Source organism: Homo sapiens, chromosome 7, assembly GCF_000001405.40.
Source record: "Homo sapiens chromosome 7, GRCh38.p14 Primary Assembly".
NCBI lineage: Eukaryota > Metazoa > Chordata > Mammalia > Primates > Hominidae > Homo > Homo sapiens.
The window spans coordinates 67166306-67182926 of NC_000007.14; the positions used below are offsets into that span (position 1 = coordinate 67166306).

Sequence of the window (16621 nt, forward strand, 5' to 3'; positions counted from 1 at the left end):
TTTTATATATAATATATAACATATATAATATATATAATATATAATTATATATAATACATATATACATGATTTTTAATAAGTTTTTAAATTGGAGTATACCATACACACAGAAAAGGGCACAGATCTTACATGAACTGCTGGATGAATTATTACAAAATGAACACAGCCAGCAAATAGCTCAAGAAATAGAACGTTAATAGCACCTTCAGAGTTCTCTCCTGGTCATCAGCCCCTCCCCTCTCTAAAAATAATTGCTATTTTGATTGCTAACACCGTAAGGTAGATTTGCCTGGTTTTGAATGTTGTGGAATCCTAACAATTTAAATTCTTTTGTGAATATATGTATTTTTTCTTTATGTATGTTTGTTAGATTCATCCATGATGTGTGCAGCTGTAATTCATCCATTTTCATTGCTATATGTCAATATATGAGTATGCCACGATTTATTCCTTCCACTATTGAGGGATATTCACATTGCATCCTGGTTGGGGCTATGATGAATAATTGCACTAATAACTTTTCTGTACATGTTTTTTGATATACATGTGGGCTAACTGATGTTCACTGTGTATTTGGGAGTGGAATTGCCACCTGATTGGGTGTTCTGCATTCAGTCATCATTAGTAGATAGTGCCAGACAATCGCACGGCCATATAAGAACATTCAAGGCTTTGGTCAATGTTTCTTTTGCATTGTCTTTTTCTTATTGGTTTATAGGATTTTTAAATGTATTCTAGACAGGAGTAAATGTCCCTTTCTGCTCTATGTCTTCTCTCTCCATTGCCTCATGACTTTTGATAAGAAGTAGCCAACTTCAATGTAGTCAGTTTATCAGGTGTCTTTATCTGGTGAGTGCATTTTATCCTGTTTAAGAAAGTCATGGCCGGGCGCGGCGGCTCACGCCTATAATCCCAGCTCTTTGGGAGGCCGAGGCGGTTGGATCATGAGGTCAGGAGATCAAGACCATCCTGGCTAACACGGTGAAACCGCGTCTCTACTAAAAATACAAAAAATTAGCCGGGCCTGGTGGCACACGCCTGTAATCCCAGCTACTTGGGAGGCTGAGGCAGGAGAATCGCTTGAACTTGGGAGGCAGAGGTTGCAGTGAGCCGAGATTGCGGCACTGCACTCCAGCCTGGGCGACAGAGAGAGACTCTGTCTCAAAAAAAAAAAAAAAAAAAAAAAAAAGGAAAGTCATGAAGAGAGTTTCTTCTGTAATTTCCTAGACATTGTGTTGTTTTTCCTTCCTTTCGCATTTTAAAGTCTATAATTTTTTTAAAGTCATTAAAATGGGGATTTTTTTTCCCACTGCAATGGGTATCATTTGATTCAATGCTGTTTATTTTTTTAAAAAACAATCCTTTCCTGCCCTGTTCTGCAGTGTCAGTTTTGTCATAAATTAAGTATCCTTACATGTTTGGGTCTGTTTTTATTTGTTTTTATTTATTTATATTTATTGATTGATTGAGACAGAGTCTCACTCTGTCGCCCAGGCTGGAGTGCAGTAGCGCGATCTCAGTTCACTGCAACCTCTGCCTCCTGAGTTCAAGCGATTCTCCTGCCTCAGCCTCCCAAGTAGCTGGGATTATAGGTACCCACCACCACGCCCAGATCATTTTTGTATTTTTAGTAGAGACGGGCTTTCACCATCTTGGCCAGGCTTGTCTCGAACTCCTGACCTCATGATCCGCCCACCTCGGCCTCCCAAAGTGTTGGGATTATAGGTGTGAGCCCCAGCCCCCTACCTACTGTTGATTTTTTATAAATACTCCACCATACTGAAGAAATTTCTTTTTATTCCTAGCTTTATGTGACTATTATCAATGGCTATTGGGTTTTTATCATATCATTTTTTTTGCGTCTATTGAGATTATATGATTTCCTTTATTCTGCTAATATGGTGAATTGCATTGATTTTCAAATAACAAACCAAATTCTATTCATGCAATAAACTCATCTTGGTTACTATGTATTATCTTTTTTGTGTATCTTGGGATTCTTTTGTATACTAATATTTAAAAGATGTTTCCATTTCTGTTCATGAGAGATGCTGAACTGTCATTTTCTTTCTTTTAATGATTTTAAGTTTTAATATCAGTATTATGGTGACCTCATAAAATGAGTAAGGAGAATAGGCCCTCTTTTTCTGTTCTCTGGAAGAGTTTAATATTTCAAATCAAACACCATAAATAATTATAGGACCATTTAGGTTTTCTGTTTATCAATTTTATTAAGTTGTGTTTTCTTTAGGACTTTGTACATTTCATTTAAATTTTCAAAATGACTTTGTGTAACTGCCCGTAATATTCAAATGCCAAATATCAAATATCAAATGCCAATTTGATAAGCCCAAATAGTACCTCATTCCTAGTAATAGTATGCATATTTTTATTTCTTATTCTTTTTTTTTCTTTTTTTCTTTTAAGATGGAGTCTGGCTCTGTTGCCCAGGCTGGAGTGCAGTGTTGCGATCTTGGCTCACTGCCACCTCCGCCTCCCAGGTTCAAGCGGTTCTCCTGCCTCAGCCTCCCGAGTAGCTGGGACTACAGGCATGCAACACCATGCCTGGCTAATTTTTGAATTTTTAGTAAAGACGAGGTTTCACAGTGTTGGTCAGGCTGGTCTCGAACTCCTGACCTTAGGTGATCCGCCCACCTCGGCCTCCCAAACTGCTGGGATTATAGGTGTGAGCACTGTGGCCGGCCTGTTTCTTACTCTTTCCATTAATTTGTAACTCTTGTTAAATTTTTTTACAAGTAATTTTTGGAATACTTGCCATCCTTATTTTATGGCATTTCTTCTATTAACTTCTGTTCTTTTATTTCCTTTTTTCTTATATTTATATTATTGTTTACTTTTTAACATCTTGTACATAGTAAATTATAGATGTTCATCCTTTCCATTTTAAAATTAAGAAATAATTTACTTTGCATAAAAATGACTTTTTAAAGTATATAATTTAGTGGCTTTTAGTTTATTTACAAAACAGTGTGACCATGTGGATTATTTAATTTCAGAACTTCCAATAGTGTCTGTCTTCTTACAGTTAGTATAATGTTTTCCAAGTTAGCGCATGTTATATAGCATGAATCAGAACTTCATCTTTTTTTTTTGAGATGGAGTCTCGCTCTGTTCCCCAGGCTGGAGTGCAGTGGCGTGATCTTGGCTCACTGCAACTTCTGTCTCCCGGGTTCAAGTGATTCTCCTGCCTCAACCTCCTGAGTAGCTGGGACTACAGGCACCCTCCACCACACCGAGCTAATTTTTGTATTTTTAGTAGAGATGGAGTTTCACCATATTGGCCAGGCTGGTCTCGAACTCCTGACCTTGTGATCCACCTGCCTTGGCCTCCCAAAGTGCTGGGATTACAGGCGTGAGCCACTGCTCCCAGCCTAGAACTTCATCTTTTTTGCTGAATACTATTCTCTTGGATGGATATGTACTATATTTTCTTTGTCCGTTCTTCAGCTGATGGACGTTGGCATTGTTTCCAGCTTTTGGCTGTTATGAGTAATACTGCTGGGAATATTCATGCACAGGTTTTAGTGTGAATATATGTTTCAGTTCACACTTATGAGTAAAATTGCTGGGTCATATAGTAATTCTATATTTAACTTTTTCAGGAGCTGCCAACTTGAAGCACAGAAAGTTTTAACTTTGAAAAGTCCATTGTATCTTTTTTTCCTCCTTCTGTTGCTTATGTTTTTGGTGTCATATCTAATTTCCTAATGCAAGGTGACAGAGATTTACCTTATGTTTTCTTCCAAGAGTTTTATTGTTTTAGCTCTTTGAGCAGTTTTGAGTTAATTTTGGTGGACAATGTGAGAGGTTCATTTGCCTGTGAATAACTAGTTGTCTCAGTACCATGTGTTGAAAAGACTATTTTTTCCCCATTGCATTGTCTTTGTACCCTTGTCAAAATCAATTGGCTGTTAAGTGTATGGGTTTTATTTGTGGACTGTCCAGTTCTGTTCCATTGATCTTCAGTTTTATCCTTATGGTGGTACCACATAATCTTGATTAACATAGCTTTGAGTATGTTTTGAAATCACAGTGTTTGAATCTTCTAACTTTCTTCTTTTTCAAATTATTTTGGGTCTTTGGGTTCCTATGCATTTCCATATGCATTTTGGGATCAGCTTTTAAAGCCTGCAAAACAGGCAGCTGGAACTTTAACAGGGATTTAAAATTTTGTATTGAGGTAGCATTCACGTAACATAAAATGAACTGTTTTAACATGAACAACGAAGTGGCATTTCATACATTTACAGTCTTGTGTAATTATCACCTTTATCTAGTTCCTAAACATTTTTATTACCCCAACATAGAATCCTGTACCCATTAAGCAGTTACTCCCCATACCTCGTAAACCAGTCCCTTATAACCACCAATCTGTTTTCTGTTACTATGGATATAGCTGTTCTGGAAATTTCATATAAATGGATTTGTGTGTTACGTGACTTGCTTTCATTCCTGGAATAAATCCCACTTGGTAATAATGTAAAATATTTTAATATGATGTATTTGGTTTGGTAGTATTCTGCTGAGAATTTCTACATCATAAGGGATTGGATTATAGTTTTCTGGTGATGTCTTTTTCTGGTTTGTTATGAAGATAATGCTGGCCTCGGAGAAGGAGGTGTGAAGTGTTTCCTCTGCTATTTTTTTTGGAAGAGTTTGAGAATATTCTTCTTGAAATGTTTGGCAATGAAGCCATCTGCTCTTAAGCTTTTATTTGTTGGGAGTTTTTTGATTGTTCAATCTCTTGACTTGTAGGTCTGTTCCGATTGTCCATTTCTCCTTGAGTCATTTTTGGTAATTTACATATTTCTAAGAATTTGTCCATTTAATTTAGGTTATCCACTTTTTTTGGTATATAGTTGTTCATAGTATTTTCTTATAATTCCTTTTATTTGTGTGAGGTTAGTAGTATTTTCTCCACTTTCATTTCTGATTTTAGTTATCTGTGTCTTCTTTTTCTTAGTCTAGCTAAAGGTCCGTTTAGTTGATTTTTTCATAGAACATACTTTTGGTTTCTTTGTCTCCCGAGTTGTTTTTCTGTTCTCTATTTCTTTTACCTCTGTTCTAGTCTTTGTTTCTCTTTCCTAACCCTGTTGATTTAATTTACTCTTCTTTTGCTAGGTCTTGGAGGAGAGTTAAGTTAATCATGTCGTTCATGTGTTCTGTGCTTTTACTCCTTTGTCTTTAATTGTTAGTTACTGAGAAAGTTCTTTTGTCTTATATTATTGGTTACTGAGAGAGATGTGTACAAATGTTCCATTGTGACTATGGGTATGTTCATTTCTCATTTTAGTTATGTCAATTGTTACTTCATATTGATGCTATATTGTTAGGTACTAGTATATTGTTATACTAGTTAAGAATTGTTACATATTTTGGGTGAATTGGCCTTTTTATAATGCCCTTCTCACCTTCTCATCTTAAAGTCTGTCTAATACTAGTAAAGCAACACTAGTTTTTTTTATGGTCAGTGTTTGCATAGTACAACTTTTTTCTTTTTGTTTTTATTTTCAACCTTTTTTGTATCTTTATATTTAAGTTATATCTCCACAAGACATTACCATTTTTGTGTCATGCAGTCAGTATTCATGATTTACCCAAAAATTTTCTCTCTAGTCTATCGTGCATCTCTGCTTCCATCTGAAGGACTTTTTAATAACATGTAATTGGGTTTGTTTTCTTAAACAGTTGGAAAATCTTTATCTTTTTGAGTGTTTATAGTTTGCATGAAATACAATAATTGATATATTTGAATTTAAATGTAGCATCTAATTATTTGCATTATTTTCCTCCCCTTTTCAGCTGTCTTTTTCTCTATTTTTTTGCTTTCTTTTGTTTTTAACTAAGGAATTTTATTATAAGTTTTCCATTCTGTTGGTTTTTTAGTATTTATTTTTTTATTATTGTTCTTTTAGTTGTTGCCCTAGTGATTGACGCAGGCATGCTTGACTTATTAAAGTCAATGTAAATTAACGTTTATATCATTTTATAAGCAATAGTACTTAGAATACTTAACTCCATTAACTCCATCCCAACTTTTATGCTGTTTTTGTTGTACATTTTACTTTTGCATATTTTTTGAACCCCACATGACCTTACCATTCTTTTTTTTGAGATGGAGTCTCACTCTGTTGCCCAGGCTGGAGTGCAGCAGCCCAGTCTCAGCTCACTGCAGCCTCTGCCTCCTGAGTTCAAGTGATTCTCCTGCCTGAGCCTCCCGAGTAGCTGGGATTACAGGTGTGTGCCACCACGCCTGGCTATTTTTTTTGTATTTTTAGTAGAAACTGCATTTCACCATGTTGGCCAGGCTTGTCTTGGACTCCTGACCTCAGGGGATCTGCTCACCTCGGCCTCCCAGAGTGCTGGGGTTATAGGCATGAGCCACTGTGCCCAGCTAAGACCTTACCATTCTTGTTTCATACATTCAGTATTCATGATTTAACCACAGATTTTCTCTTCAGTCTTTCCTATGTCTCTTCTTCCAGCTGAAGGACTTTTTAAAAAACAAACAAGCTGGATGTGGTGGCTAACACCTGTAATCCCAGCACTTTGGGAGTTCAAGGTAGGAGGATCACTTGAGTCCAGGGGTTCAAGACCAGCCTGGGCAACATAATGAGACCCTGTCTCTACAAAAAGTAAAAAAAATTAACTGGGTATGGTGATGCACCAGTGCACTCCAGCCTGAGTGACAGAGTGAAACCCTGTCTCAAAAAACAAAAACAAAAAAATTAAAAACAAAATATAAACACAATACCATTATCACTCCTAATACAATTAACAATGCATTTTAATGCATTTCCTGAAAATTCAAATGTATCTCATTTTCTCTGATAGTTTCCAAAAGAATGTGTTTTTATAACTTTTTTTCTCAGAGTAATATCTAAACAAGATTCTCACATTGTACTTTGTTTATACTTCTTGTAATGTGATTGCTCCAATCCTGTTTCCCTTTCTTGTGTGCTACTTATTTGTGGAAGAAGGTGGGTCATTTGTCATTAGAATTTGCAACATCCCGAATTTGGCTGATTGAATCCTTTTGGTATCTTTTAATATAGTCTGTGTTTCTTTGTAATTCCTGTAAAATGGTAGTTACAACTAAAGGCTCGATTGACGATATATTCAGTTTTTGTCAAGAATACTTAATAATTGTTGCTGTACTGTTTCCTAGTGCATCAATCAAGTGGCACACAACATCTGGTTGTTAAGATTGATTAGTAGATTTTCTACATAGATAATCATGCTATCTCTAAACAAAGACCGTTTTATTTCTTTCTTCCAAATCTGTTTTCTTTGTATTCCCCTGTCTTGTCTTAACAACATTGATTAGGACTTCCAGTACCATGTTGAAAAGCAGTGGTGAGAGAAGACATCCTTGCTTTGTTCCTGATATTAATGGGAAAGCTTCCAGGTTCTTGCCATTAAGTATGATGTTAGCTGTAGGTTTTTTGTAGATATCCTTATTAAGTTGAGAAAATTTTCCTAGTTTGCTGAGAGTTTTTATTATGAATGGGTGGTGAATGGTGTCATATGCTTTTTGGCATCTATTGATATGATCACGTGATTTTCCTTCTTTATCTTGTTGATGTGATGGATTACATTAACTGATTTTCAAATGTTGAATCAGCCTTACCTACAGATGGGTTGCAGGCAAACAACCCATTTTGTTTGCTTACATACAAGTGGCAAATGGTTTTCCTGGGAGTATTTTAGTGGAGAACTGTGAGAAGCTCTATTGCACAGTGCTGGTCTTTTGTTTGATAACCAAGATGTCTGTAGTTAGACTGTTTGGGACATTTGTCACATTAGGACCCCCTTCCCCTATGCTCTTGGGATATTCTGAATTTACCATTATGCTGCTTATCAGATTAACATTTCTGCATGTGCTTTTTTCCCCCATTACAAAAGTTTTACTCATTTACTGTAGAAATTTGGGGCAATACAGGAAAACATAAACCCAAACGGGATAAATAAAAACATTTTATGAAATTTTTAAAAGCAGGCAGAGATAAAGAGAGATTACTTTCAAAAGAGCAACAATAGGCCAGTACTTGATTGCACAACAGAAATGAGAGCACAAACCATGGAGCCTCAAAGGGCTGAAATTTGCCAAGAGCTGCCAATCTAGAAGTCTGTTCCCAATGAAAATATTTTTCAAGAGTGAAGGAGAAAAAAAAAGTTTTGAAGAAGACAAAATGCCTACTTAGTAAAGGAAATAGGTTAAAAATCAATAAGCTAAATGCATATATTGAGAAGTTAATTGGTACCCACAATGTTTTTTTTTTTAAAAAAAAGAACAGAGCAGTAAATTAAACATAGAGTAAGTACTTGGAAGGAAATAAAAAGAGCAGAAATTAAGGAAATAAAAAACATCCATAAAATAGGATTATAAAAAAGCGGAAGTTGGTTATTCAAAAAATCTTACAAAACTGATGATTACCTGGCAAGTTTGATCAATAAAATGAGAGATGGTACAAATAAGTAATGTTAGAAATGAAAATGAAACATCACTATAGATCCTATAGACATTAAAAAGATAGGAGGATATTTTGAATTACTTTATGCCAATTAATTTGGGAATTTAGATGAAATACACAAATTCCTAGAAAATGAAGCTTAAGAAAATTAATACTAGATGAAATGATCTACATGGACTTATAATTGTTAAATAAATTGCTTTTTTAAATTTAAAACCTCGTCCAAAGGAAACTCCAGGCCCAGATGATTTCATCGTTGAATTATACCAATTCTTGATGATACCAGTCATCAGGAGAACTAACACCAACCCTACACAACTATTCCAGAGAGGAATAGTAGCACTTTCCATCTCATTTTATTAGTTCAGAATTTTTTTTTTTTTTTTTTGAGATGGAGTTTTGCTCTTATTGCCCAGGCTGGAGTGCGATGGCGTGATCTCAGCTCACCGCAACCTCCACCTCCTGGGCTCAAGTGATTCTCGTGCCTCAGCCCCACGAGTAGCTGGGACTACAGGCATGTGCCATCATGCCCAGCTAATTTTGTATTTTTAGTAGAGATGGGGTTTCTCCATGTTGGTGAGGCTGGTCTCGAACTCCCAACCTCAGGTGATCCACCTGCCTCAGCCTCCCAAAGTGCTGGGATTACAGGCATAAGCCACTGCGTCCAGCCAGTTCAGAATATTTATACCAAATTCTAAGAAGAATAAGACAAAAGCGATTTTTACTCATAAGCATAGAAGCAAATATTTTAAAGAAAAGATCAATAAACTAAATACAGCAGTCTATAAAACCATGAAAAATTGGCTTTATTCTAAGAATGCGAGTTTTGTTTAATGTGTAAAAATCAACCTATTTATGATGTCATAATAAAAAGAAAGCTGGTAGGATAAGGTTAATAGATGCATAAAAAGAATTTGACAGAAATCAATATTTATTTATGATTAAAATCTTGTAGCCAATTAGGATTAGAAGGAAACTTCCTAATCTGATATATTTACCCATAAAAGTCATACTTCTTGAGTAAATGTTTAAAATCTTACTGTGCAGAATAAGACAAGCATACCCACTATATTTATCACCACTTCCATTTAACATGGAATCAAAGTTCTGGCTAGTGCTAAAAGACAAGAAAAAGGGGAAAAAGTTATGATTGGAAAGGAAGATGTCATTTTTAGTAAATAAATGTGTACATAAACAATCCTTTCCAAAATTTGTAATTATTCGCTTTAATAAATGTATTTTACAAGACTGCTATATAGATACACAGTCAGCTTACAAAAATCAGTTATATTTCTGTATACCAGCTATTAAAATATCAGTTAAATATTAGTTAAAAGAGGAAAAATAGAAAAGATACTACCATAACAAAGCATCAAAAGTATATTACCTAGGAATAAATCTATGGAAAGATGTTTTTGACCTTTATATTGAAAACTATAAAATATTATTGAGAGAAATTTTAAAGGATCTAAATAAAGGTAATTATTTTGGCAGATTCAGGGTTGTAAAAGTATCATTTCTCCATACACTGATTATATTTATTTATGGTAGCCACTAGCTACATGTGACCATTGAGTACTTGAAACGTGGCTACCCTGAATTGAGCCGTGCTGTGCATTGGAATTTAAAGACTACACTTGATCTTAGCCAAAAGGCCAAGAAGCGATGGAATTCAAAGACTTAGTCTGGTAAAAAGAATGTCAGGTATCCCAATATTTAAATATTGATTTCTTCTTGAGTTGATAATTTTGAGGATATGTTAAGTTAAAATACATTAAAAAAAATTTCACCTGTGAACTTATATTTCTGTTGAGCAACACTGGCTTATAGATTCAATGCTATATCAGGCAGAATCATAAAGGGTTGTATATGTTTGTGGAAATTAATAAGCTGATTCTAAAATGTACATGGATATGCAAAGGGCCAAGAATGGCCACCATACTCTTTCAGAAGGACGACATAAGAGAACTTGCTCCACTGTAGGATTTTTCAACATTGGCACCATCGACATTTTAGACTGGATAGTTCTTTTTAGGAAAAGGGTTGGGGAGACTGTCCCGTGCATTGTAGGATATTCAGCAGCAGCCCTGGCCTTTACCCACTAGATGTCAGTAGCAGCCCCCATTTGTGAAAACCAAAAAATTTTCTCAAGATGTTGCTAATTGTCCCCTGCGGTGCAGAATCGCTCCTGGTTGAGAACCGTCTCTATTGGATATCAAGTCTTAGTGTAGAGCAACAGTAATTAAAAGTGTGATATTGAGACAATGAGAAACAATTAGATCAGTGGAACAGAATAGAAAAAACCAGAAGCAGATCCTCACATGCATAGACAATGATTCTATCATATTTATTACAGTGGACTATCCATATGTTAAATAAGTTTAACTTCTCAACACCACACGCAAAAGTCAGTTTTGGTGGATTTTTGACACAAATGTGAGTGGCAATATGATAAAACTTTAGAAAAAAATGTAAGAGCTTATCTTCATGCTCTTGATAGCATGGAATGATCCGTTAAAGAGACACAAGAAACACTAATATGAAAGAAACGCTAATAAGGAAAGAAAGTGGAAATGTGTGAAAGTTAGGAGTTCTTATTGATCAGAAGACATTGTGAAAAAAAGGAAGCCATAAAGTGGATGAAATTATTTCTAATACGTTTATAACAGAGCTTTTCTTTCCAGCAAATGCAAATAATTTATTGAAAATCAGTTGGAAAAAAGACAAATATTCCAACAGAGAAATATTCAAGACATTTGAACCAGTACTTCACAAAAACAGAGATACAGATAGCCAGAAAACATATGAACTCAGCTTGCTTACATCCACAGGCAGATGCAAAGCCAAAACAATGCAAAAGTGGTGAAAACTAGCAACACTAAGTGTTGTTGAAGATAACAACCAACCAAAACTCTGATACAACGCGGGTGAAAGTGTGGCAAAATGACTTTGGCAATCAGATTGCCAATATCTGCTAAGGTCGAATGTATACATATCCCCCATGACCCAGCATGTCCATATTTAGGTAGATCCTAGAAAATGTGTGTTCTTGTGCATCAAGAGACAAGTACAGCTGGGCACGTTGGCTCATGCCTGTAATCCTAGCACTTTGGGAGGCCAAGGCAAGAGGATTGCTTGAGCCCAAGAGTTCGAGACCAGCCTGGGCAACAAAGTGAGAGCCTGTCTCTACAGAAAAAAAAAAAGAAAAAAAAAAAAAGCTAGGAGTGGCAGCATGTGCCTGTAGTCCCAGCTACTCAGGAGGCTGAGACAGGAGGATCCCTTGAGACTGGGAGGTTGAGGCTGGAGTGGGCCATGCTTATGCCACTGCACTCCAGCCTGAGTGGTGGAGCCAGACCCTATCTCAAGCCAGAAAAAAAAACAGGAGGTGGGGAGAGGGAGAGAGAGATGAGTACAGTAGCACTCATGGCAGCAGTATTTTCTAAGAAACCCAAAGTAGAGGGTTAAAATCGTTCACTAGTAGTGTGTTCATACAATGTGGCCATAAAGATGTATTTATGGTGACACATAAGTACCATGCACTCTACTGGGCCACTGGAGCTCCAGTTACATCAACAGCATGAATGAATCTTGCAAACATCGAATTCAGTGAAAGAAGCCAGACACAAAAGAATGTATGTCACAGTAGCATTTTATAAAATTTCCTTAAACAGGCAAAACTAAACTCTGGTGTTCAAAGAGATAACCACATTGTTTTATAATAGCTAAAACCTGGACATAATCCAAATGTTTAGGGAATGGTTGAATAACTTGTTGTATATTCATGCAACCCAATACTGGATAATGAAAATGAACAAACCTAAACATGGAGCAACATAGGTGAATTTTATAAACACAGTGTTGAGTGATAGACACCAAACACAAAATAATGTATGATTCCACTGACATAAATTCCAAACACAGGCAAAAACTAGACTATTATGTTAAAGTCAGGATATTAGATATTAGTCAGGTGAAGGGAGTGGATATTCACTGGGAGGAGCAGAAGGGTGTCTGGGTGATGGGCATTTTGTGATAATCCCTGGAGTTATACATTCATGTTTTGTGTACATTTCTCTTTGTGTTTCATTTCACAGTTTTAGAAGATTTAGCAAAGTGAGAGAGAGCCTATTCTGGTTCCTACTGTTGCATGACAGGTGAGCCCCAAAACCGGGGCTTAGCTTGGGAGGATTTTTGGCTTTGTCCAGTAAAGAATTCAAGGGCAAGCCGGTGGTGTTAGACGGGAATCTTTTATTGAAGGGTACAGCTCCTTGCAGAGCAGGGCTAACTCATAGGCAGCGCACCCAGAATGGGCATTGTATGGGCTCCTGGCAACTGTATTTATGCACATATTTACATGCAAATTAAGGGGCAGGCCAATGCAAATAAAGGGATGTGTTATTTAGAACTTTCTAGGAAAGGGGCAGTAACTTCTGGGTTGTTGCATGGCATTTGTAAACTGTCATGGCCCTGGTGGGAGTGTCTTATGCTAATGAATAAGAAGGCTATCTTGGGATCACCTTAGTGGCCATCTGCTGGTTCCTGCTGGTTTCTTCACTTCATCCTGTCTGGACCTGTTTTGGTCAGCAGGGTTGTGACCAGAAAACAAGTCCTGCCAGTCTCCCACCTCACTACTGCTTGGGTTCACACCCCAGCTTTGCTGCTCTCCAGCTGTGTAACTTCAGGCAATTTACTTAACAGCTGTCAGCCTCACCTTCGTATCTGTAAAGTGAAGATAATAATCCAATCTATTTTGTGAGATTTGTTGTAAAGATTAGACAGATATTGGAATCTTTGCCAAGCTACAAAGCACTTTATAACAACAGCTGGCACATAGTAAGGGCTGAGTAATTGCAAACTCCTGCTATTATTTTTATGGTTACTGTTGCCAGTTTATTTGTTCAGATGAATTGTAAACTCTCATTGGAATTACATTATATTTATAAATCCATCATGGCTCTCCATGTAGATGGGTTTTTGTTTAGGTCTCTTAGAAAAGTTTATTTTACTCACTGTCCTGCATGCTATTTCATAATTTAATCATTAGGAATATATATATATATATATATTTTTTTTTTTTGGCGGGGGACAGGGTCTTGCTGTGTCACCCAGGCTGGAGTGCGTTGGTGTGATCATGGCTCACGGCAGCCTCCACCTCCCAAGCTCAAGCAATCCTCCTGCTTCAGCCATGCCCAGCTGTTGTATTTTTTGTAGTGATGGGGTCTCTTTATGTTGCCCAGGCTGGTCTCGAATTCCTGGCCTCAAGTAATCCTCCCATCTTGGTCTTCCAATGTGCTGAGATTACAGGCGTGAGCCAGTGCACCCAGCTGAAACACTAGGCATTTCATAATTATAAGTAGAATATGCTTTCTCTTGAATTTTGAAATTGCTGATTGCTGGCATATAATAGCTAATATTTGGTATGATACGCTGCTGCCAAGCTTGGTTCCAGATTCCACATGCTAAATGCTACATTCAGGTAGAAACTAAGAACAGAGAGGTAATGATACCTAGTACATGGGTTGGGATTCATTCTGGCCCCCGTGTCCACATTTAACTCACTACCGTATCCTTGGAAAGCTGTTGGTTTATATATATATATATATATTTATATATATATATATATAATTTTTTTTTTGGTAACTGGCCTAATCTCATTTTTAGTTGATTCTTTCAGGTTTCCAAGAAGCCAGTCATATTATTTACAATTAATTATTTTTCGTATATTCTCCAGTAATTCTTATCCTGGCCTTGTTGCTTTGATTATAACTTGTAGAAAAGTGTTTTTTAAGAAAGAGCAGAAATTCTTCTGTTAGTCCAACTAAATAGAAATGCATTTATTTATTTATTTATTTATTTATTTGAGACAGAGTCTCACTCTGTTGCCCAGGCTGGAGTGCAGTGGTGCAGTCTTGGCCCATTGCAACCTCTGCCTCCCGGGTTGAAGCAATTCTCTTGCCTCAGCCTCCCAAGTAGCTGGGATTACAGGCGCCTGCCATCATGCCTGGCTAATTTTTGTATTTTTTAGTGGAGATGGGGTTTCACCACGTTGACCAGGCTGGCCTCGAACTCCTGACCTCAAGTGAGCCACCCACCTCGGCCTCCCAAAGTGCTGGGATTACAGGCGTGAGCCACTGCGTCCGGCCCCTCCATTTTTTTAGCCAGTAAGAGTAGTGTTGACTATTGACTGGAGAATGTTGTGGATTTTTTTTTTTTAATGTTAAGGATGTGTTTAATTAACTGAATTTACCAAATGGTGTTTGATTTGCTCATTCTGTTTTGTTTTAAAAGCAGGGATGGCTTTTAAACTATATCAGATACCTTTGGGTATCTATGAAGATGATCATGTGGTTTTTCTGTGTTGAACTACTAGTATAATGAATTGTATTACTGTATAGCCTAATATTGAATTGTTTTTGCATTCCCGGAATTTTTAACAAAATGCTGAATTTTACTTGCTAAAATTTCTATAAGATTTTTACATATATAAGTATGAGTGAGATAGGTCTGCAGTTTTCTACTATTTTTGTTAGCTTTTGGCATTGGAAGAATTATATGTAAAGGGAATCTGGAAGATTTCTGTCTTTCCTTGCATGATATACTGCATTTTGGAAGGAACTTTTGAGTACACATGAGTAAATATGCTTGGAAAACATTAATTTCTGGTGTGGCTGCCTAATATTCCTTATTAACGATCTCTTAGTTTTCTTCAATGAAGGTCTCAAGTGTTTCTTCTTTTTTATTAATGTTGGAAGTTTTCAAACATAGACTAATAAGATTGGTATCATTTTGTGCATCCCTTTCACTTTACTGTTTTTTTTTCTTGAGTATTTTGAGCATTGCTACTTCAGGTGTGGTTTGAGGGTTGGCAGCCTGAGTGTTACCTGGGCATTTGCTACAGATGCATGTAATCATGTACATAGAACCACATGCATCCCATCACCTTTGCCATAGTCTGTTGGTTATAGGCAAGTCACAGGTCCTGCACCTACTCAAGGGGTGGGTCTCACTTTAGATTTTAAGCCATTCTTCTTCTTATTTTTATTTATTTATTTATTTTGAGACAGTCTTGCTCTGTCTCAGTGCAGTGGCGTGATCTCAGCTCACTGCAACCTTCACCTCCCAGGTTCAAATGATTCTCCTGCCTCAGCCTCCCAAGTAGCTGGGATTACAGGTGCATGCCGCCACGCCTGGCTCATTTTTGTATTTTTAGTAGAGACGGGGTTTCACCATGTTGGCCAGGCTGGTCTCAAACTCCTTACCTCAGGTGATCCCCGCACCTCGGCCTCCCAAAGTGCTGGGATTACAGGCATGAGCCACCACACCCGGCCTTAAGCCATTATTAATAATGTTGTCCTGAGATTTTTTAGTGTTTTTGAATTTTTAATCATTTGTTTTGGGTTCTAAAAGGGAGCTACAAAGTCAGAGTGTAAGCTTTTTAAAGGCTTTAATGCCTAGTGTCTAATTACATTTTCAGAAATCTAGCTTGGCTCAGTGGTGTGTGCCTATAATCCCAGCCCTTCGGAAGCCTCAGGCATGAGGGTCACTTAAGGCCGAGAGTTCGAGACCAGCCTGAATAACATAGCAAGGACCCCATCTCTAAAAAAATTTTTAAACTTAGCCAGGCGTGATGACGTGTGCCTATAGTCCCAGCTACTTGGGAAGCTGAGGCAGGAGGATCACTTGAGTCCAGGAGATTGAGGCTGTGGTGAGTTAGGATTGCACCACTGCACTCCAGCCTGGAGGGCGAGACCCTGTCTCTAAAAAAATAAAGAAGAAAAGAAAGCAAGCCAGTCCCTCTTGTGGTTATATGGCACACAAATGGCAACATTGATAATCCATCCATGTGCCTTTTCTGCCAGCAAGAAATGCCAAGAGATCATTAAATAATGAGGGAGTAGGAAAGAAGACAGGACTTACTAACAATTCTTGTCACTAACAACTTGGGTGATTATTACCTGAAAGCCTAGAGGGTATTTCAATTAATTTTTTATAGCCTAACACTGTTTGGTCAGTTTATCATTCCTTACTAAATGTAATTCAGTGTGTCTGTGTCAAGAAACCTCTGGGTGCCTGGCATAGTGTTAAATGTTGTGGGGAAGAGAAAATAAATATGTCAGTATCTCATG

The 16621-nt window shown here is 37.1% G+C and overlaps 1 protein-coding gene across 5 annotated transcripts in view, besides 2 other annotated features; it reads left to right on the plus strand.

Moving 5' to 3' along the window:
• The window catches only part of TYW1 (tRNA-yW synthesizing protein 1 homolog), a 242682-nt gene that overhangs the window by 169473 nt on the left and 56588 nt on the right, over positions 1-16621 (plus strand). The window lies entirely within an intron of this gene.
• Positions 12777-13071: an enhancer, noted in NCBI's record as "tiled region #9636; K562 Activating DNase unmatched - State 5:Enh". NCBI's record gives its function as "activates a minimal TATA promoter and a strong SV40 promoter by Sharpr-MPRA in K562 cells {active_cell/tissue: K562}" and the evidence as "EXISTENCE:reporter gene assay evidence [ECO:0000049][PMID:27701403]".
• Positions 12777-13071: a silencer, noted in NCBI's record as "tiled region #9636; HepG2 Repressive non-DNase unmatched - State 13:Ctcf". NCBI's record gives its function as "represses a minimal TATA promoter and a strong SV40 promoter by Sharpr-MPRA in HepG2 cells {active_cell/tissue: HepG2}" and the evidence as "EXISTENCE:reporter gene assay evidence [ECO:0000049][PMID:27701403]".